Source organism: Homo sapiens, chromosome X (genome assembly GCF_000001405.40).
Source record: "Homo sapiens chromosome X, GRCh38.p14 Primary Assembly".
Lineage (NCBI taxonomy): Eukaryota > Metazoa > Chordata > Mammalia > Primates > Hominidae > Homo > Homo sapiens.
In genome coordinates, this window is record NC_000023.11 from 102,214,255 (window position 1) to 102,236,560 (window position 22,306).

At 41.8% G+C, this 22,306-nt stretch overlaps 1 protein-coding gene across 2 annotated transcripts; it reads left to right on the forward strand.

Annotated features, from left to right (window-relative positions):
• The first annotated feature begins 1,046 nt into the window (after positions 1-1,046).
• Positions 1,047-12,541, forward strand: TCP11X1 (t-complex 11 family, X-linked 1). Of its 2 annotated transcripts, none has more exons than NM_001368158.1 (10): positions 1,047-1,086; positions 1,574-1,711; positions 3,701-3,826; positions 7,287-7,407; positions 8,171-8,361; positions 9,128-9,264; positions 9,511-9,731; positions 9,830-10,011; positions 10,773-10,936; positions 12,111-12,541. In NM_001368158.1, the coding sequence occupies exons 4-10, from the start codon at positions 7,312-7,314 to the stop codon at positions 12,341-12,343; spliced, it is 1,224 nt and encodes a 407-aa protein (NP_001355087.1). In that variant the 5' UTR covers positions 1,047-1,086; positions 1,574-1,711; positions 3,701-3,826; positions 7,287-7,311; the 3' UTR covers positions 12,344-12,541. The 2 variants fall into 2 exon arrangements, with proteins under 2 accessions (NP_001355087.1, NP_001391955.1); NM_001405026.1 differs by having other exon boundaries at positions 3,724-3,826; positions 8,141-8,361.
• Positions 12,542-22,306: the final 9,765 nt, after the last annotated feature.

Sequence of the window (22,306 nt, forward strand, 5' to 3'; positions counted from 1 at the left end):
GGTCAAAGTATAGTCTTGATTTATAAAAGAAACAAGTTAATGTGTTAAGAAATTAAGTCAGGGTAAGAGAGGGATCAACTAGTATAGTGTGGAAATGTATATATGCTGGAAATAGGCCAATCCAGGGGTCCTCATATCACTGTGGTGACTGGCCAGTGGAGTGACAAAGTAGACTAGGACTGAAGAGTGAGCAACATGAGGCCCCTTAGGATCGTCCGTTCCAGTGCCCTCAGTTTACAGATGAGCTCCAAAGCTCACAATTGGATTGCAATGAAGAACATGCCAAGAATTGAGCTGAAAGAACCCAAACCAAAATGTAGGATTCCTCTCAGGCTTATGGTCTTGCCCCTTTACCACACAGCTTCTGTGGCTAGCCCTTTAAAATGATTCTTGATTTGCATATTTGTAAAATGAGAGTTTAACAGTTCATGTGTCTCTCCTTACTTTGTGTGGAGGATTCACTTATACAAAAGATAAAAGAAAACCCAAAACAGACTTCTGGAATTTTGTAGCCCTGTTGGTTCTTCATTTGTAGGGGCTGTATGAACAGCATGAAGTGAAACAAATAAACAACAAACGCTTATTTTTTCCCCCTAAATAGTTATTTAAATGCTATTTTTGTTTCTGGGGCAGTAAGGATAAAAGCTTTGAACAGTTCGTTCACGAGGAGCAGGGCTTGAGAAGATGACTTCCAAGCTCCTGAGGGGTTCCGAGCCTGGGCGGGAGGGTTTGGACATGAAGCCTCCTTACGTCTATCTCAGCCTCCTGCCTTTGTCACCCAATGGTGAGGCTCTGCTTGCGTTTCCTGCCGTCTTGGTTTCCAAGGCACCCTGGGCAAGTGATACCACCCCGCTACCCTGGAAACGGATCACCCTTTGTTTTCATGTTTGGACTCTCCTATCTTGTGTCACAGGTAGGGGTGCGCTCCAGGTGGACCTCATAATCTCCATGGTTCCGTCCTACTCCTCCCTGATGATCTCCCCTCTCTTCCTGGCTACAATGGTACTTCCCAGACCAGGTTGGGGAGGCAGAGGGGCTTCGCTAGCAGACGCAGAGGCGAGGCCGCCAGTCGAGGACGAGGAGGAGGTGAGGGACCAGGGTCGCGAGGGCTGTGGGGGATACCCTGCTGCCTGAGTCCAGGCCGGCAGAGCCCCTTCAGGAAGGTCTGGAGCAGTAGCTAAGGAGTTAGAAGGTATTCCAGGACCAATGAAAGGTAGCCAGAGCCGAGGAAGATTCCTTTCCTAGCTTGGTCAGTAATGTGCAGTGTGCCCCGCTTCTGGCGAGTTAATTGTCCATCTCTGGGCCTTGTTTTCCTCTTCTGCTTGCCCAAGACCAGACTTCTTTGATTTCAGTAAAGGAAGTGCCACTAATTCCCCTTCCCCTCGAGGCCTGTTTGAAGACCCTAGTTGTTCCTTTGAGAACCTTTGAGCCCTGGTACTTAATCCTTTCAACTGACGGCAGCGGGTTCAGTCACCAGGACACACAATTGTAGTTGAAGAGCGCTCTTTCTTTTTGTCCCTGGGCGAGAGTCAGGTCTTACACAGCTTGCCTCTTCTTTTCTCTCCAATTCCAGATAACATCAAGATGCCGAAGACTGAGGAAACTGTGCTCCAGAATGATCCCAGTGTAGCAGAGAATGGGGCCCCTGAGCCTAAAACACCAGGGCAGAGCCAGAAAAGCAAGAGTTTCTGTTTAGATGACCAGTCTCCTGGTAGGTCTAGAATCATGTCATCACTTCTATGGACAGCAATTAGGCTAAAGGAATAGACAGCCTGTGATTTAAGGGCCTTTAAGGGATATAGAAGGCTCTTGCAACCTTGCATTTTTCCTTACTAATCCTTCTGTTAGTCCTCTTTTGGATTATTCTTTCTCTTGTCTTTCTGCCCCCTCTAATTTTTACATGCAGGACTTAGGCCCCTAATTGGTAAGTAAAATTAAAAGATTTTGGTTTTAGAGAAAGAGACCGACAAAGCAAGTTACTTGTGTTTGACAACAGTCGAGAGTGATTTAGTCAGTTCAAAGCCTGGGAAATAAATAGCATTCTTGTATTTTGATTTTGTAAAGTGCAAATGGTAGATCTAGGACAGATCGAAGTGATCCAAATTATCTGTTGCTTCAGTTGTGTTCTGTCCTTTTCCAGGGGTGCTTTGTTGACATAAAAATTACCACTGCTCTGGGGTAAAATTATTTAGGTCTTTAATAATAGCATTTTTATGTGAACATTGGGACTTTAAGTCTTTTTCACACCTTATGTTAGGCATTTGAAGCTTTGGCTTGACTAGTCCAACCTCACAGGAACTCAAATTGCAGTTCTTTTACAATAATCTCCAGTGAATTTAACCAAAGGTTAATCTGCAGACCTCTCCAGATGTAGCAATTTGATCCAACCTCTTGAACACTGAAACGGGGAAAAAATATGAAGTTGAATTACGTGTGTTTCTCTGGTGGCCACTTGGGGTCACTGCTAGTAAGCAGAATGGCACAATTCATACTTCATAATATCTCTCAAAGAAATGATGTCTTAATGAATTAATTAGATGGTATATTTTAACATATGTAGCTTTTTAGTTAGTATAGAAGGGAAATACCAGTTGATGGACCAACTTTTCAACAGAAGTCTTATCAACGGTTTTTTAAATGAAAAATAAATGGGCATAAATGGACCATCTTCTTGGAGTGAGCTTTAGGATTCTTATATGTGAGTTTTATTATATCTTAAGGATAAATCGTTCTCTCTGACCAAGTTATGAAACTACATTAAAATTGAGTTACAAAATAGTTTTATTGCATATTTTATTTTACATATCAAGTAATAATTGTGACTACTATATATACTTTGTTTTACTACTGAAAGTACTCTGTATGATGAATTTAGAACACTGGTTCCCAAATTCGAATGCTGGGCTAGGACATAGTTCTTACCAATATTGAATGAAATAAAACAATAAAGAGGTTGTAATGAGTTTTTAAAATAATATTAAATTGATTCAATTTAAAAGAGTACTCTTAATGCTGACTGTGTTTTCTTTATACTTTCTGAGGTGTTAAAATATGTTTTCTTTTTATGAAGTGATTATTTTGATGATGGTAGGGTAGTTTCATTGTTTGCTTGTTTGCTTTCATGTCCATATGTGGAAAAATAAAAATTGTCAAATCATTATCTGTCACTCATGTTGTTTTGAAGTGTTGTCTGTTGAATACCCAGATTTGGAAACTACTGTTTTAGGAGCAGGTTTCAGCTTTAGAGCCATCTAGTAAGATTCGTGTGGTATCTATAAGGAGATTTTAGCCTTCATCTTGTGTGTAGCCCCTGAGGTAGGAAGAGAACAGTGGGAACACAATAACTTTTAGATACACATTAATTTTACAAATCACAACTTATTCATTGTTTGCTGTGTTTTGCTTATGGTTTTACATTTCAAGTGGAAGGTTTTCAAAACTGTTTTATGTTTTTCAAAAACTAATTTCTTCCTCCCATGCCTGACTTCTCTGAGATGTTCAGTGTTACTGAAGAGCAAAGAGTTCAGAAAACTTCTGGTGGTAAAATGATTGAATAAGTCTGTGTAAGATCCGTTTGATGAATCTAAACTTGGGAGCCTTACTTGGCAGAGTGAATCTCTAAATAAAATAAAAATTCTCTTTGTGTGGGTTCCCTGTTGATGATGGCTATGCTTTTTTTCTTTCTTTTTCCGGAAAGCAGACCTGATGTCTTTTCTGTCACAGATCTGATAGAGACAGTTAATGAAGTTTCCAAGCTGAGCATTTCACATGAAATTGTAGTAAACCAAGATTTCTATGTGGAAGAGACCATTTTGCCTCCAAACAGGTACAGATTATTCAGTTTTTTTCCATTTTACTCTTCGGGGCATAGGTACATAGCACAAATGACTTTTGGTCAGACTTGAAGCATCTTATTAATAAATTTAATGGTTGAGTGTGTCTTATATAGTACCGACAAATTAGTGTAAGTATTACTTTAAAAGTGTCAAAGCAGCAAATTATATTTAAACAGGTAATAAACCAATGCAGTTACAGGTTGAACATCCCAAATCGGAAATCCACGATGCTCCAAAATCCAAAACATTTTGAGCGCCAACATGATGCTCAAAGGAAATGCTCATTGCGGTATACAAGTATGCTGCAAATATTCCAAAATCCAAGAAATCCGTAATCTGGCTAGGCGCAGTGTCTCACGACTGTTAAGTTCCAACACTTTGGGAGGCCGAGGCAGGTGGATTGCTTGAGTCCAGGAAGTCAAGGCCAGCCTGGGCAACATGGCGAAACCTTGTCTATGCAAAAAATACAAAAATTAGCCGGGCATGGTGGTGCATGCCTGTAGTCCCAGCTACTCAGGAGGCTGAGGTGGGAGGATCCCTTGAGCCTGGGAAGCAGAGGTTGCAGTGAACTGAGATCGCGAACACGCCACTGCACTCCAGTCTGGGCGACAGAGTGAGACCCTGTCTCAAATAATAATAATAACAATAATAATCCGTAATCCAAAATACTCCCGTCCCAAACATCTTGGAAAAGGGGTATTCATTCTGTATTGTCAAAATGTTCATTTCAGGATCTTAGTTAATAATGAAACGTAGAGTGATTTTCAGATCTTTTCAGACAGACTTGGAAGAGGTAACTCCTAGCCGTTCAACTTTTAATTATCTGCAGATTAAACAGGCAGAGATGAGCAGATTTTCTAATAGTGGTTTTGTTCACTCTTCAGGAGTAGGAAATTTCAGGGGACACTTCTGCTTCATAATCAGTGTAATAAAGATTCTGTGAATCAAGATTAGAACCCCATCGATAAATAGTGTGCTTCTACAATTAGGCTTTATATTGGTTTCTCTTAATTATATTGATATAACAATATATGATTAAGAATCATCCAGCATTTATGGATTGAATGCTTCTAGTGTTTATTAAGAGTTAAATGGGTTGATTTCTTTGTCAGAATCTATATTTTACGGTATTTCTAATTTCCCACCTTAAATGCTTCTGTTATTTTGCCACTTTTGGGATTCTGTTACGTAAAGCCCCTTGCTTTGTCAGTGGTTCTCTTGATCTTCATACTTCTTAGATTTTCCTTTGTCTGTTGCCAAGGATGGGTTACCTGAAGGAAGTTTTTACCAAAACACAGGTCTCGTAGCATCTCCCTCATTGCCTTTATAGTCCCTGCGGCCCGAGTTAGATTTGTTTTTCTCCTGGTAGGGGTGCAGAAAAAAGTGAAGCTAAGAGAATGAAGGTCTGTTAAAGTGGCTAGGGATCTCAGGGGGTGGATAGATGAAGCAGGAGGAATAATATTATTTAGGGCTTGGATTTCACTGTGTTTTTTAAATTAACAGGCTTTTTCAAATGTAGTAATACAAAATGTATACTGGATAAGAGGTTGAAATAGAGTTTGGGGTTATCCATTATCTACAGATAATTGACAGTTTTCCCTTTGGACTTATAAAATTATACTAAGCACAGTTACCGGTTTTTAGGGGAAATCTCATAATAAGACATTTATTCAACAAACATTTATTGAGTACTTATTAGGTGGAAGGCAGAATGTTGAAAGCTGAAGACATATAGTTGAGTGAGTCACTGTCTTTGCCATCAAAAAGCTTCTGTAGGGAAGATAGTCAAATAGCTACTGTGCAGAGTGATAAGTTATCTCATATCTAGTGTGTGGAGTTCTATGCAGTGCTCAGCTACCTGGGGAAGGTCAGCGAAGACTTTCCTAATAAGGTAACACTTGAATTGAGTCTTTTCAGGTGGTTTAGGGGAGAAGGGACTCTCCTGGAAGAGGAAATGTCATTTCAGAGCCATAGAGGGATGGAAGACAATTATATATTAATTATAAGTGGACTGTGATTGTTAGAGCACAGGATGTAGGAGGAGAAAGAAGGTTAAGGTAGGAGAAGTGGCAGAATAGGATCGTGAAGGGACTTAAAGGCCACGTACACTGCTAGAGATAGGTAGCGTCTGAAGAACTTTAAATGAGTATACTATTATGATCAGATTTGTATCTTAGAAAACTCATTGATTTTTATCAAAAATATGTACCATTGTTGGGGTAAGGTTTTGTGGGTGTAAGGTGGCCATTTAATAGACTATAGCAATAGTTCAGGAAAGAGATGACAGTGGGTGGGGGCCGATTCCAGAGATATTTAGGAAGCAAAATCTCTGGAATTGGGTGACTGAGTGGATAAAGGACATGAGGGGAAAGGAATTAAGAAGGACTACAGTACACACCAGATAGATAATAGTTGAACTTTCACAGGTTAGATTGTTGTGTTGGAGGAGAAACTTTGAATTTTTGTTTCATATATTTTTTAATCACTTGTATTTTTGTAAACAGAAAACATACATTACTATTATATACATACACGTATATATACACACGTGTGTGTATATATGTGTGTGTGTGTATATACATATATATATATATATATATATATATTTTTTTTTTTTTTTTTTTTGAGACCGAGTCTCGCTCTGTCACCAGGCTGGAGTGCAGTGGCACTATTTCGGCTCACTGCAAACTCTGCTTCCCGGGTTTAAGCAATTCTCCTGCCTCAACCTCCGGAGTAGCTGGGACTATAGGCACCCGCCACCACGCCCAGCTAATTGTTGTGTTTTTAGTAGAGACGGGGTTTCACCATGTTGGCCAGGATGGTCTCAAACTCCTGACCTCGTGATCCGCCCGCATCGACCTCCCAAAATGCTGGGATTACAGGCGTGAGCCACCGCGCCCGGCCTACTATTATATTTTTTTAAAGAGAAAAAGTCTCAGATTTCTGGTTACAGAACTAAGTATACATGAGGAACAAATTTAAAGAAGGAAGATAAGGAGTTCAGTTTTGGGCTTGCTGAATTTAAAGTGTCTCAGAAGACCTTCAGGTATTATCAAGAGGTAAAATCCTTTCCTAGATTTCAGGCCTGAAGGAAAAATAGCATCTGGTTCAAAGTTTTAAGTCTATGGCAGTGGAAACTAAGTCACACATCCAGGCTAGGTGCAGAACTAGGGTTAGAAGTCAGAGTCTCAACTCCTAGTTTATGGTTCTTCCTGCTGCAGGAAGAGAGTGTCTCTGGAACCTTGAGGTACCCTTCTGAGAGAATTTAGCCAATGCTTTTCCATCTGAGACTACCTTCAGTTTATTCAGCCCTTCTCAAGTCTAAACATAGGTCCTCCTAGCCTGTCAAGTTAATGGTCTTTCATAATTTTAAATGCTGTTTGGGAAATTATGATCCTGTATCAATTTTCTAGGTAAAAGAGCAATCTGCTCATTTAACCCTTCTTATAGTGTAGAAGGCAGGTTTGCGGAGGCAATGTACAATGCTTTTTGGAACCATCTGAAAGAACAGCTATTGAGTACTCCTCCTGACTTCACTTGTGCCCTTGAACTTCTAAAAGATGTTAAGGAGGTGAGTAACCAACTCCCATTCGTGGATGGGAAGTTCCTGGGCATCTCAGAACCTTGGATCGTCAATGGCTGTTAATATATCAAGTAGCATACTTTTTTTAACGTGACCTACTACTTAAATAGATAGGATGGGGCAGCTTCCATTTTATTTGTATAAGATGAAACTTGACCATTGGGCGATGACTATAACAATATATAACTCAATTAAACAAATTCTTACTGAAACCCCACTATGGTCTATGTGTTTCAGAATCCCGGAGATGAATAGGCGAGCCCTTGCCCACAAGGAACTTGCATGCTTGAGTCAAAAGGCTATTTCAAGGGAACCTTAAAGATTCCAGATTTGCTATTTTATCCTCACACTTTGGAGTAAAACAATCTAAAAATATCCTTATCCTTTATTAAGAATGCCTCATCTCCTTGTGGTGGTGTGTATTTCATATTTCTTATATCCCACACATTTAAAACCACATTCTTATTTTTATTCATATTTTTACCTCATTCTACCTAAAAAATAGTAATGACTACTACTATAACTGATCCCAGTGAAGCCTTGAATGGTAATTGTCCTCTAGACAGAAAGAAATAATACTCTCTAAGAAATGTAGAGACTCAGTTCTCTGCCCCCCCAGAAGACATAATCTGGGATGCCTTTGGCCTAAGAGCATAGTTCATTGGAGAAAGTTTGAGGTTCTGAACAGAACTTGGCTCCTTTGATTTCCTTTGTTGGGCAGACCTTGCTATCACTGCTATTACCATGGCAGAACCGCCTAAGAAATGAGATAGAAGAAGCTCTGGACACAGATCTCCTCAAGCAGGAAGCAGAACATGGGGCCCTGGATGTCCCTCATCTTTCTAACTACATTCTCAATTTGATGGCTCTGCTATGTGCACCGGTTCGAGATGAAGCGATACAGAAACTAGAGACCATAAGAGATCCAGTGCAGTTACTGAGGTGAGAGTCTAGATGTGCTGTCCCCCAAATCTGCCTTAGACACTGTGCCGGAGAACTCTGAGCCAGCCACTGTGGATATAGCCCCTGTCTTATCTAACTCTTGTGTACTGATGACCTGACTAACACACCTTTTCTCCTTTCTGGATTATTGGCTTTTATTTTCCAAGGACAGTCTCTCGGGGTTCCTTTTGATGATCTTTAGATCAGTTGGGTCTCCTTTATGTCATGATACTGTTAAGACATTAAGGTACAGTAATTCTTTCTCCTATAGATTGCAAATTGCCTTTTCCCAGATGTTGTCCTGTTTGTCCCAACTCAGACCTTGTGAGGGGACAGGAAAGAGGATTATCCGTGTTTCACAGCTAGAAGAACCAGGACCCGGAAAAGTAAAATGATCTGCTCAATGAGTTAGAAATTCAGTCACCCACATCCCAGCTACCCACATATAATTGTTAACACCTTGGTGATTTTCCTTTCACTGACTACCCTTTTTTCAAGGTGACAGACTGACTACAGGCAAAAGAGCTCTCATCTGGTTGTTAAAGTGTCAGGAGGTATAACTGTCCTTAGTTTTGCCATCAACTCACTCTATGGCCTTGGGTCACTGGCCACAGTACCATTATTCATAAGTTGAAATAGGACTGTTTGTTTTTAAGGCTTCTTCTGACTCTCAAATACTCTGCTTTTATGGCTCCTTGCTTGGATTCCACCCTTCCAGACTAGATTTCCTTTAATAGTGTAAATGTTCTGTTTCTCCCTACGGCAGGGGCATCCTCCGTGTTCTGGGCCTAATGAAAATGGACATGGTGAACTATACCATCCAGAGCTTTCGACCCTACCTGCAGGAACATTCCATCCAGTATGAACAAGCTAAATTCCAGGAACTCCTTGATAAACAGCCCAGTATGTTTAAAATTCAAGGGCAGGAGAGGGGAGATTTGACCTCAGGTCTGCCTTCTTATAGCAATAGAGGGTATTTTCTATTTTTTGAATAGAAAGTTTCTTCCTTGGGCAAGGGGTAGGGAGAAGGAATGTTTCTCTAAGATAGAAAGATCTACAAAATCACTTCTTTATAGACCAAGAGTATGTCTCAGAGCCATCATCTTTAAGCCTTGGAATTTTAAGATGCATATTCCCTTCTCGTCGTAGGTCTCCTCGATTATACCACAAAATGGCTAACCAAAGCAGCCACAGACATCACTACACTATGTCCGAGTTCTCCTGACTCACCTAGCTCCTCCTGCAGCATGGTGTGTTCACTTCCAAGCGGGGCAGGTAACAATTCAGAGCCCCCCAGTCCAACAATGGTGCTATACCAAGGTTACCTGAACCTCCTCCTCTGGGATCTTGAAAACGTAGAATTCCCAGAGGTAGGGATGTGTGTTTGGGCATTGCCTTGTTCTATGGTATTCAGTGCCTCCATTCAAACCCTCCTCTTCTGATGGGCTGTCCTTCGCTCCCTCACCAGACTCTGCTGATGGACAGAATCCGGCTCCAGGAACTGGCATTCCAGTTGCACCAGTTAACTGTCCTGGCCTCAGTCTTGCTAGTGGCCAGAAGCTTCTCTGGTGAAGTTTTATTCAGATCACCTGAATTTGTGGATAGACTGAAATGCACCACCAAGGCCCTAACTGAGGAATTTATCTCCAGGTAAGATTCATAGATCTCTGTTAGAGAGGGAAATGTGTGGTATTTGGGACATAGGTAATATCAATACTATTATTGCTTATTCTTCATCACAAACCACACAAAGGCCCTTGGAAATGATCTTCAAAGATTTTGGTATCTTTGATAATTTGTATTGAGGTTTGGGATACAGAAAATAAAACTTATTTTCCAAAGAGGAGAGTGTGGAAGCCAGTTTGCTACAAATATTCCTTATGTGTTTGCTAAAAATGAGTCATTATATACGTGATTGAATGACAGTGGATTTGTGCTATGTATATCTAGAAGTTGATCGGTTGGTCAGTGATATTGACCATTCACTGCATGTGGGGGCAGGGATATTATACCAAAGTACAAGGAGGAGTAGGAAGTCCAAGCCTCTTAATATATTAGCAATTTAATTGGTGGGGTAGGAGAAAAACCATGAAAAATATCCAATAGAGTCTTAAAACAACATTTAAATACAGTTGATGGGACTGGAGAATGCCGAGTAGATCCAAGGATGGAACTGAACCCTTGCCCAATTTACTTTGTTTTCATCGAAGTGGCATATGGTGCTGTGTGTTTGGATCAGGTGGTACCTTGCGGGTAACAATGAGTGTATTTCATCTGCCCAGTGGCTAATGCTGTCTTCTGGTGGCAGAGAGCCAGAATTCTTCCTGGAATAGGCCTGGCTTGTGGTATGAGGCTCTCTGGGCTTTGCCCCTCTGCCAGGCCCACTCTGCATTCTATCCCTTATTATCTAGGCCTGAAGAGACTATGCTGAGTGTGAGTGAACAGGTGTCTCAGGAAGTCCATCAAGGCCTTAAGGACATGGGCCTCACTACTCTGAGCAGTGAAAACACAGCATCTCTTCTAGGCCAACTCCAGAACATCACCAAGAAAGAGAACTGCATTCGTAGCATTGTTGGTAAGAATCTCCATGGTCGTCGTGCAGAAAAGTGGCAAGAATGTGGGGCATGGGTGGGTAGACCTTACCCTGAATGTGAGTTACCTAAGCATTTAAAAATGAAAAGGCATGATCATTTGGGAAGTTTTTTAGCTTTAGTTTCCTCGTCTATAATGTGCACTGTTCAAATAGATCTTTCTCAATTTGGAGAATGCATGTATGGTTTGAAGACAGCTCTGTACCCAAGATATGTCATTCACAGGTGTTGGATATTATCACGCTAACCCTATGAAGTCATTCCTGGTATTTTCTCTTTTCTTTTCTTTTCTTTTTTTTGAGACAAAGTCTCACTCTGTTGCCCAAGTTGGAGTGCAGTGACACGATCTAGGCTCACTGCAACCTCCACCTTCTGAGTTCAAGCGATTCTACTGCCTCAGCCTCCCGAGTAGCTGGGACTACAGGCACGCGCCACCATGCCTGGCTATTTTTTTTTGTATTTTTAGTAGAGATGGGGTTTCACCATGTTGGCCAGGCTGGTCTCGAACTCCTGACCTCGTGATCCGCCTGCCTCGGACTCCCAAAGTGCTGGGATTACATACGTGAGCCACCACGCCCAGCCCATTCCTGGTCATATTCTAAATGTCGGCCAAGATATATGGAGGAACCCTTTCTCTATCCTATGCTTTAAGCTACCATTTGGGCCCCTACGCCTCTCCATGGAAGTGATGCTGAGTTGGGCTGTAGGACATGTTCCATGCTGGAATGGAAGCAGTGAACTTGGCCAGCTTGCTTTGAACTTTACCATCTGATCATAGCCTGGATTGGGTGTATGGGCCTGAACTTGGTGCACTGGCTGCAACATGTGTTGTTACTTTCAGGTACCGGGTCTACGGTCCTCTTGTTAAGTTAAACGTGCCCTAGGATCTCACATACAGCTACATAAAGTAATCTTATGAACCCCCAGAAATTTACTACCTCAGCATCTTTTGATCATGCATTGTCCTTTGGGAGATTGATGGCATTCCATTCCCCCAAACAAACAAAAATCTCATGTATACGGTTTACCCAAATGAGCAGAGAGGTCAGTGAATAACTCGGTTAATGCAAAACTTTGGTGAGCAGATAGAGCAAAGGCATTGTGAATTTCTTCTGTACCGACTTCGTTCCTCTTGTCATTGTTTTTCCCTGCTCACAGATCAGTGGATCCGTTTTTTTCTCAAATGCTGTTTGCTTCATGGCATGCAGGAGTCTCTGCTACACTTTCCTGGAGGCCTCATTCTCATTGAAAAGGAGTTGGCAGAACTGGGCTGGAAGTTTCTCAATCTGATGCATCATAATCAGCAGGTATTTGGCCCATACTATGCTGAGATCCTAAAACACATCATCCATCCAGCTCAAGCACAAGAAACAGATGTGGAGCCTAACTGATAGTGCTGGACCCCAGCTATGGCAACAGGGACTCAGGAGAGAGAGGTCAGCATGTTTCTGGGAGGACATCACCTGTGGTTAGTCGAACAGTCAGCCCTCTTCCTCGCTATAGCCAGGACACAGGGATGCAGGGGTCAAGCATGTAAGCACCAACTGGCCCAATCCCCTTCACTAATAAACCTCTGAGCTGCAAGAAAATTTCAGTTCCTCCTGTGTTCTAGCTGAAGTCAGGTTCTGCAGCCTCATCCCCTAACTAGCTGAGTGAGAATCCAGTGGGCCCTCTGTTTTCCCTTCATTGGCTGATCATTCTTCAGTATGCTTGCCTGAGCCGAATCTGGGCATCAGGTACTGATAAGGGAAAATCCTGGGACTGTATAGAATAATGCCCCCTGAAAACTGGGAAGGAGCTAAGAGACCAAAGAATGACCCGGACAAGTCCGGCTTGATAAGCAGATGAATTTCTTGGGACTTACGTATAGGGCATTCCTGGGTGGCAGCAGGACAGCTCTGGGGATCTGCCCTGACACTCCTCTGCAAGCTGCTTTTAAGCTAATTTTCTGGCTCTTTGCCTTCTGTATGCAATGAGACTCTTTCTCTTGGTATGTTTCCCAGTACACTCTGGGATGTTTTGGTTCTCACAGACACCTCGGCTCCTAAGCTGGGCACCATGCATGGCCTTAGACCACCACCTGGCCTTCAGGGTTCAGGCAGCAGACATACAGCCTTAAGTAATCTGGTGGGGGAGGGGGGAACTCATTAACCTACAGTCACTAGCATTATTTTCTCCATTGAAAAATCATTTCCTTGAGGGCTTTGAAAACTCTTTGTGAGATTATCCAGAGAATGACTATAAGGGCTTCTGGAAGTCAGAAATTCACTGAATTGCAGATGAAGAGAAGACATAGAACTCCATTTCTAGCACCACATTTCCCTGTAGTTTTCAAGGATACAGCAATAGCAAGAGTTGCGAACTCCCGTTCTAGTGTCTGGTTTGAAGCAGTATGAAAACTGGGGATTGGTTGAAAGTTGATATGGTGAATATCAACTTTGTGCCAACAGGCATTCAGCTAAGGACAGGTCTCAGCTTCCAAGGGATTTCTTTCTTTTAAGTGATTCTAGGGGTCAGGCTTGGAATCTCTGATAATGACAGTAAACCGAAGCAATTAGGTCAGTGAGTATCATATCAAGTTCACCCCGATCCTATTTCTACAGCTGAATTAATCTTATCTGGCCACATCTCTAGGCTTAGAACATCTCCTTCTTCTTGACAGAATCGATGTGCGTATTCAAGCGTGGGGCAGCTGCCATGCTTTTTCCCACTCCTAGTCTGGGACTCCAACTGCCAAGTTATGAATATCAGCTGACTTGGCAACACAAATGATAGATGTTCTTGGTCCACAAGGACTTGGGCTTGTTGTTAGAGACTGCAGAGGTTCGTCCCATCGTTCCCAGGCCAACTGCAGCAGACAAGCAGCAATCTAGAAAATTAGGAACAAATTTAGGTTTGGATTTGGACTAGGTTTGGATTCAGAATGGACAGGGGACAATAGAAACTTACTTATGGGATAGACCCAAACTGGTTGAAAAAAATCATGTCCTCATTATTTCGGCGGATGGAAGGAGCTGAGTACAATTTACTCAGCCCAAGAAAAACAACAGATGAGATTGGAGTTCCATTACTCCCCAGGGAACCACGTGATTGATTTCCCTAGAGGGTGGATACCAGATGGGTGACATAGCTGGGTAAACAGAGTGCTACTTTTACTTTGGCTGGAGATGAGGCACACAGAAAAGCTGTGGAATGGATCATTCACGTGTTCTAATCTTGTGACTAGATAGTCTCAGGACAGAGACCATGGCAGATGAATGTTTTATAATTAATAAATAGGCAGTGAGCCTGGCCTAGTTAAATTTTCTAATGTGATTAGACAATACGAATACAATTTTTTAAAAAAGTATTAATTTTGGGAGCCAGATTATCTTACAGACAAGTGTGTTCTGAAGTGATCCCTGTGAAGATGACGGAGTAGTTGACGGATACTGACTTTGGGCTGCAATGAAACTTTGCTTTATACTTTATAATTAAAATCTGACTTGTGTTGATTTCTTGGAGATTTTGAGTTTATTGATTCTCTTGTGCTTCTACGTGGAGGAAATGGGAATCCTGATCCTAAACAAGGAAAGATAGCTCACTCAATTCTGTTCACCATTTAGGGATGGATGGATGCACAGTTAGATAGATAGGTGGAACATGCACATGGTTAAAAATGACATGCAGTACAGAGAAAATTCGGTTTTTTCGCCACCCCTGTATCTCATTTATCCTACTTAGAGGAAACTATATCCAGGTCTTTGTGCATACTTCTAAAGATATTCTGTGCATATGCAAGTACATATTATAATTATAACAAATATTTGTGAGTGTGTATGCACCAGGCACTCTTTTAAGCACTCTACATATATTATTTCAATTATTCCTTAACAATTTATCTCCAGTCTACTTTTCCAATTCTAGAACAATGTTGTACAGAAAGCTCTAACTGAGGGTAAGAACCGGTGTTTGTTTGTTTGTTTATATATTTATTTATCTGGTCTTCTTTGAGTGAGTAAGGGAAAATCATTTCACTTTCTTGGGCTTTGTCTTCATCGATAAAATTCTATACTTGACTAAATTACTGATTTTCTTGTTCAATTTTATAGAGTCATTTTTCACAAAACGAAATCTTTCCAGAAGATCACGAATAAGAGAGATCAAAGCTAGGCAGCTTGAGTTGAAGTAGAGCTGGAAGAAGGAGTTTTGAGGACTGTTTCAAAACCACTGGACTAGATGATCTCTAAAGGTTCCTGTATTATTTTCTTCTTTTCTTATGGCTGTTGTAACAAATTACCCCCTGAACTTTGTGGCTTAAAATAACATGCATGTATTATCTTATCATCCTGATTGTCAGAAGACCAAAATCAGTTTCAGTGGGTGAAAATCAGGGAGTCAGTAGGGCCAGGCTCCCTCTGGAAGCTCTAAGGGAGAATCCATTGCCTTGCCATTTTTAGCTTCTGAAGCTGTATTCTTTATTCCTTGGCAAGGCAATGGATTCTTCCCTGGAGCTTCCAGAGCTCCCATTCCTTTATCATCGAAGCCAGCATCATAGCTTCTTGTGTCAGTCATCACATTGCCTCCTTCTATGTGAAATGTCCCTCTCCTTCCCTCTTAATAAGGAAACGCTCTTACATTTAGGGCCAGGCAGGATAATCTCCCCACCTCAAGATCCTTAGTCACATTTGTAAAGTCCCTTTTGCCATATAAGGTGGCAGTCAGGGGTTCCAGAGACTACAACATGGATATCTTTGGAGGCCATTATTTAGCTTACCACAGCCTACCCTCTAACTCCCCAAAATTCATGTTCATTCTACATGCAAAATATATTTGCCTCACCTCAATATCCCCAAAAGTCTTAACACCAACGCGAGTTGAAAATCTCATCTGTAAATCATCTAAACCAGGTATGAGACAGACTCTGGGTATGATCCTTCTTGAGGCTAAATTTCTTTTCATCAGTGGCCCTGCGAACTAGAAAATAAAGTTACCTCTTTTTTATTACAGTGGTGACATGGACATAGGATAATGGTTATAGACAGTCCCCCTCCCAACGGGAAAAAATGAAAGCAAGCAAAAAGTTACCAGCTCCAAGCCAACTTGAAATCCAATCAGGTAAACTCATTTAGGTTTCAAGGCCTGGGAATATTCCTCCGTGGCTAGAGGCTCTGCCCTCTATGCCCGAGGCTCCACCCTTTAAGTGAACAGAGCCAGGCTCTGTCCTCAGAGTTATCTTGTTTTTGTTTTTGTTTTGAAGAGTAATACATGTTTGCAGCAGAATACTTTATTATTATTATTATTATTATACTTTAAGTTTTAGGGTACATGTGGACAATGTGCAGGTTAGTTACACATGCATACATGTGCCATGCTGGTGTGCTGCACCCATTAACTCGTCACTTAGCATTAGGTATATCTCCTACAGCTATCCCTCCCCCCTTTCCCCACCCCACAACAGTCCCCAGAGTGTGATGTTCCCCTTCCTGTGTCCATGTGTTCTCATTGTTCAATTCCCACCTATGAGCGAGAATATGCGGTGTTTGGTTTTTTGTTCTTGCGATAGTTTACTGAGAATGATGATTTCCGATTTCATCCATGTCCCTACAAAGGACATGAACTCATCCTTTTTTATGACTGCATAGTATTCTATGGTGTATATGTGCCACATTTTCTTAATCCAGTCTATCATTGTTGGACGTTTGGGTTGGTTCCAAGTCTTTGCTATTGTGAATAGTGCCGCAATAAACATACGTGTGCATGTGTCTTTATAGCAGCATGATTTATAATCTTTTGGGTATATACCCAGTAATGGGATGGCTGAGTCAAATAGTATTTCTAGTTCTAGATCCCTGAGGAATCGCCACACTGACTTCCACAATGGTTGAACTAGTTTACAGTCCCACCAACAGTGTAAAAGTGTTCCTATTTCTCCACATCCTCTCCAGCACCTGTTGTTTCCTGACTTTTTAATGATCGCCATTCTAACTGGTGTGAGATGGTATCTCATTGTGGTTTTGATTTGCATTTCTCTGATGGCCAGTGATGATGAGCATTTTTTCACGTGTTTTTTGGCTGCATAAATGTCTTCCTTTGAGAAGTGCCTGTTCATGTCCTTCGCCCACTTTTTGATGGGATCGTTTGTTTTTTTCTTGTAAATTTGTTTGAGTTCATTGTAGATTCTGGATATTAGCCCTTTGTCAGATGAGTAGGTTGCGAAAATTTTCTCCCATTTTGTAGGTTGCCTGTTCACTCTGATGGTGGTTTCTTTTGCTGTGCAGAAGCTCTTTAGTTTGATTAGATCCCATTTGTCAATTTTGGCTTTTGTTGCCATTGCTTTTGGTGTTTTAGACATGAAGTCCTTGCCCATGCCTATGTCCTGAATGGTAATGCCTAGGTTTTCTTCTAGGGTTTTTATGGTTTTAGGTCTAACATTTAAGTCTTTAATCCATCTTGAATTAATTTTTGTATAAGGTGTAAGGAAGGGATCCAGTTTCAGCTTTCTGCATAGGGCTAGCCAGTTTTCCCAGCACCATTTATTAAATAGGGAATCCTTTCCCCATTTCTTGTTTTTGTCAGGTTTGTCAAACATCAGATGGTTGTAGATATGTGGCATTATTTCTGAGGGCTCTGTTCGGTTCCATTCGTCTATATCCCTTTTTTGGTACCGGTACCATGCTGTTTTGGTTACTGTAGCCTTGTAGTATAGTTTGAAGTCAGGTAGAGTGATGCCTCCAGCTTTGTTCTTTTGGCTTAGGACTGACGTGGCAATGCGGGCTCTTTTTTGGTTCCATATGAACTTTAAAGTAGTTTTTTCCAATTCTGTGAAGAAAGTCATTGGTAGCTTGATGGGGATGGCATTGAATCTATAAATTACCTTGGGCAGTATGGCCATTTTCACGATATTGATTCTTCCTACCCATGAGCATGGAATGTTCTTCCATTTGTTTGTATCCTCTTTTATTTCATTGAGCAGCAGTTTGTAGTTCTCCTTGAAGAGGTCCTTCACGTCCCTTGTAAGTTGGATTCCCAGGTATTTTATTCTCTTTGAAGCAATTGTGAATGGGAGTTCACTCATGATTTGGCTCTCTGTTTGTCTGTTATTGGTGTATAAGAATGCTTGTGATATTTGCACATTGATTTTGTATCCTGAGACTTTGCTGAAGTTGCTTCTCAGTTTAAGGAGATTTTGGGCTGAGACGATGGGGTTTTCTAGATATACAATCATGTCATCTGCAAACAGGGACAATTTGACTTCCTCTTTTCCTAATTGAATACCCTTTATTCCCTTCTCCTGCCTGATTGCCCTGGCCAGAACTTCCAACACTATGTTGAATAGGAGTGGTGAGAGAGGGCATCCCTGTCTTGTGCCAGTTTTCAAAGGGAATGCTTCCAGTTTTTGTCCATTCAGTATGATATTGGCTGTGGGTTTGTCATAGATAGCTCTTATTATTTTGAGATACGTCCCATCAATACCTAATTTATTGAGAGTTTTTAGCTTGAAGGGTTGTTGAATTTTGTCAAAGGCCTTTTCTGCATCTATTGAGATAATCATGGGGTTTTTGTCTTTGGCTCTGTTTATATGCTGGATTACGTTTATTGATTTGTGTATGTTGAACCAGCCTTGCATCCCAGGGATGAAGCCCACTTGATCATGGTGGATAAGCTTTTTGATGTGTTGCTGGATTCGGTTTGCCAGTATTTTATTGAGGATTTTTGCATCAATGTTCATCAAGGATATTGGTCTAAAACTCTCTTTTTTGGCTGTGTCTCTGCCCGGCTTTGGTATCAGGATGATGCTGTCCTCATAAAATGAACTAGGGAGGATTCCCTCTTTTTCTATTGATTGGGATAGTTTCAGAAGGAATGGTACCAGCTCCTCCTTCTACCTCTGGTAGAATTCGGCTGTGAATCCATCTGGTCCTGGACTTTTTTTGGTTGGTAAGCTATTGATTACTGCCTCAATTTCAGAGCCTGTTATTGGTCTATTCAGAGATTCAACTTCTTCCCGGTTTAGTCTTGGGAGGGTGTATGTGTCGAGGAATTTATCCATTTCTTCTAGATTTACTAGTTTATTTGTGTAGAGGTGTTTATAGTATTCTCTGATGGTAGTTTGTATTTCTGTGGGATCGGTGGTGATATCCCCTTTGTCATTTTTTATTGCTTCTATTTGATTCTTCTCTCTTTTCTTCTTTATTAGTCTTGCTAGCGGTCTATCAATTTTGTTGATCCTTTCAAAAAAACAGCTCCTGGATTCATTGATTTTTTGAAGGGTTTTTTTGTGTCTCTATTTCCTTCAGTTCTGCTCTGATCTTAGTTATTTCTTGCCTTCTGCTAGCTTTTGAATGTGTTTGCTCTTGCTTTTCTAGTTCTTTTAATTGTGATGTTAGGGTGTCAATTTTAGATCTTTCCTGCTTTCTCTTGTGGGCATTTAGTGCTATAAATTCGCCTCTACACACTGCTTTGAATGTGTCCCAGAGATTCTGGTATGTTGTGTCTTTGTTCTCATTGGTTTCAAAGAACATCTCTATTTCTGCCTTCATTTCGTTATGTACCCAGTAGTCATTCAGGATCAGGTTGTTCAGTTTCCACGTAGTTGAACGGTTTTGAGTGAGTTTCTTAATCCTGAGTTCTAGTTTGATTGCACTGTGGTCTGAGAGACAGTTTGTTAGAATTTCCGTTCCTTTGCGTTTGCTGAGGAGTGCTTTACTTCCAACTGTGTGGTCAATTTTGGAATAGGTGTGGTGTGGTGCTGAGAAGAATGTATATTCTGTTGATTTGGGGTGGAGAGTTCTGTAGATGTCTGTTAGGTCCACTTGGTGCAGAGCTGAATTCAGTTCCTGGATATCCTTGTGAACTTTCTGTCTTGTTGATCTGTCTAATGTTGACAGTGGGGTGTTAAAGTCTCCCATTATTATTGTGTGGGAGTCTAATTCTCTTTGTAGGTCACTCAGGACTTGCTTTATGAATCTGGGTGCTCCTGTATTGGGTGCATATATATTTAGGATAGTTAGTTCTTCTTGTTGAATTGATCCCTTTACCATTATGTAATGGCCTTGTCTCTTTTGATCTTTGTTGGTTTAAAGTCTGTTTTATCAGAGAGTAGGATTGCAACCTCTGCCTTTTTTTGTTTTCCATTTGCTTGGTAGATCTTCCTCCATCCTTTTATTTTGAGCCTATGTGTGTCTCTGCACGTGAGATGGGTTTCCTGAATACAGCACACTGATGGGTCTTGACTCTATATCCAGTTTGCCAGTCTGTGCCTTTTAGTTGGAGCATTTAGCCCATTTACGTTTAAGGTTAGTATTGTTATGTGTGAATGTGATCCTGTCATTATGATGTTAGCTGGTTATTTTGCTCGTCAGTTGATGCAGTTTCTTCCTAGCCTGGATGGTCTTTACAATTTGGCATGTTTTTGCAGTGGCTGGTACCGGTTGTTCCTTTCCATGTTTAGTGCTTCCTTCAGGAGCTCTTTTAGGGCAGGCCTGGTGCTCACAAAATCTCTCAGCATTTGGTTGTCTGTAAAGTATTTTATTTCTCCTTCACTTATGAAGCTTAGTTTGGCTGGATATGACATTCTGGGTTGAAAATTCTTTTCTTTAAGAATGTTGAATATTGGCTCCCACTCTCTTCTGGCTTGTAGAGTTTCTGCCGGGAGATCCGCTGTTAGTCTGATGGGCTTCCCTTTGTGGGTAACCCGACCTTTCTCTCTGGCTGCCCTTAACATTTTTTCCTTCATTTCAACGTTGGTGAATCTGACAATTATGTGTCTTGGAGTTGCTCTTCTCTAGGAATATCTTTGTGGCATTCTCTGTATTTCCTGAATTTGAATGTTGGTCTGCCTTGCTAGATTGGGGAAGTTCTCCTGGATAAGTCCTGCAGAGTGTTTTCCAACTTGTTTCCATTCTCCCCGTCACTTTCAGGTGCACCAATCAGATGTAGATTTGGTCTTTTCACATAGTCCCATGTTTCTTGGAGGCTTTGTTCGTTTCTTTTTTTTCTTTTTTCTCTAAACTTCTCTTCACGCTTCATATGATTCATTTCATCTTCCATTGCTGATACCCTTTCTTCCAGTTGATTGCATCGGTTACTGAGCCTTGTGCATTCGTTACGTAGTTCTCGTGCCATGGTTTTCAGCTCCATCAGGTCCTTTAAGGACTTCTCTGCATTGATTATTCTAGTTATCCATTCGTCTAATTTTTTTTCAAAGTTTCTAACTTCTTTGCCAGTGGTTTGAACTTCCTCCTGCAGCTCGGAGTAGTTTGATCATCTGAAGCCTTCCTCTCTCAACTCATCAAAGTCATTCTCCGTCCAGCTTTGTTCTGTTGCTGGTGAGGAGCTGCGTTCCTTTGGAGGAGGAGAGGCACTCTGATTTTTCGAGTTTCCAGTTTTTCTGCTCTGTTTTTTCCCCATCTTTGTGGTTTTATCTACCTTTGGTCTTTGATGATGGTGACGTACAGATGGGTTTTTGGTGTGGATGTCCTTTCTGTTTGTTAGTTTTCCTTCTAACAGCCAGGACCCTCAGCTGCAGGTGTGTTGGAGTCTACTGGAGGTCCACTCCAAACCCTGTTTGCCTGGGTATCAGCAGCAGTGGCTGCAGAACAGCAGATATTGGTGAACTGCAGATGCTGCTGCCTGATCGTACCTCTGGAAGTTTTGTGTCAGAGGAGTACCTGGCCGTGTGAGGTGTCAGTCCGCCCCGACTGGGGGGTGCCTCCCAGTTAGGCTACTCGGGGGTCAGGGACCCACTTGAGGAGGCAGTCTGCCTGTTCTCAGGTCTCCAGCTGCGTGCCAGGAGAACCACTACTCTCTTCAAAGCTGTCAGACGGGGACATTTAAGACTGCAGAAGTTATTGCTGTCTTTTGTTTGTCTGTGCCCTGCCCCCAGAGGTGGAGCCTACAGAGGCAGGCAGGCCTCCTGGAGCTCTGGTGGGCTCCCCCCAAGTCGAGCTTCCTGGCCGCTTTGTTTACCTACTCAAGCCTGAGCAATGGCGGGCACCCCTCCCCCAGCCTCGCTGCCGCCTTGCAGTTTGATCTCAGACTGCTGTGCTAGCAATGAGTGAGGCTCCGTGGGCATAGGACCCTCTGAGCCAGGTGCGGGATATAATCTCCTGGTGTGCTGTTTGTGAAGCCTGTTGGAAAAGTGCAGTATTAGGGTGGGAGTGACCCTATTTTCCAGGTGCCCTCTGTCACCCCTTTCTTTGACTAGGAAAGGGAATTCCCTGACCCCTTGCACTTCCCGGGTGAGGCGATGCCTCTCCCTGCTTTGGCTCATGCACGGTGCACTGCACCCACTGTCCTGCACCCACTGTCCGACACTCCCCTGTGAGATGAACCCGGTACCTCAGTTGGAAATGCAGAAATCACCCGCCTTC

Bases quoted from the DNA above. Each gene is read 5' to 3' on its own strand.
- TCP11X1 (NM_001405026.1), top strand. From the start codon at position 1,585: ATGCCGAAGACTGAGGAAACTGTGCTCCAGAATGATCCCAGTGTAGCA. The intron at 7,408-8,140 runs GTGAGTAACCAA...TTTGTTGGGCAG, and splicing joins TTCTAAAAGATGTTAAGGAG to ACCTTGCTATCACTGCTATT. The intron at 10,937-12,110 runs GTAAGAATCTCC...CCCTGCTCACAG, and splicing joins CTGCATTCGTAGCATTGTTG to ATCAGTGGATCCGTTTTTTT.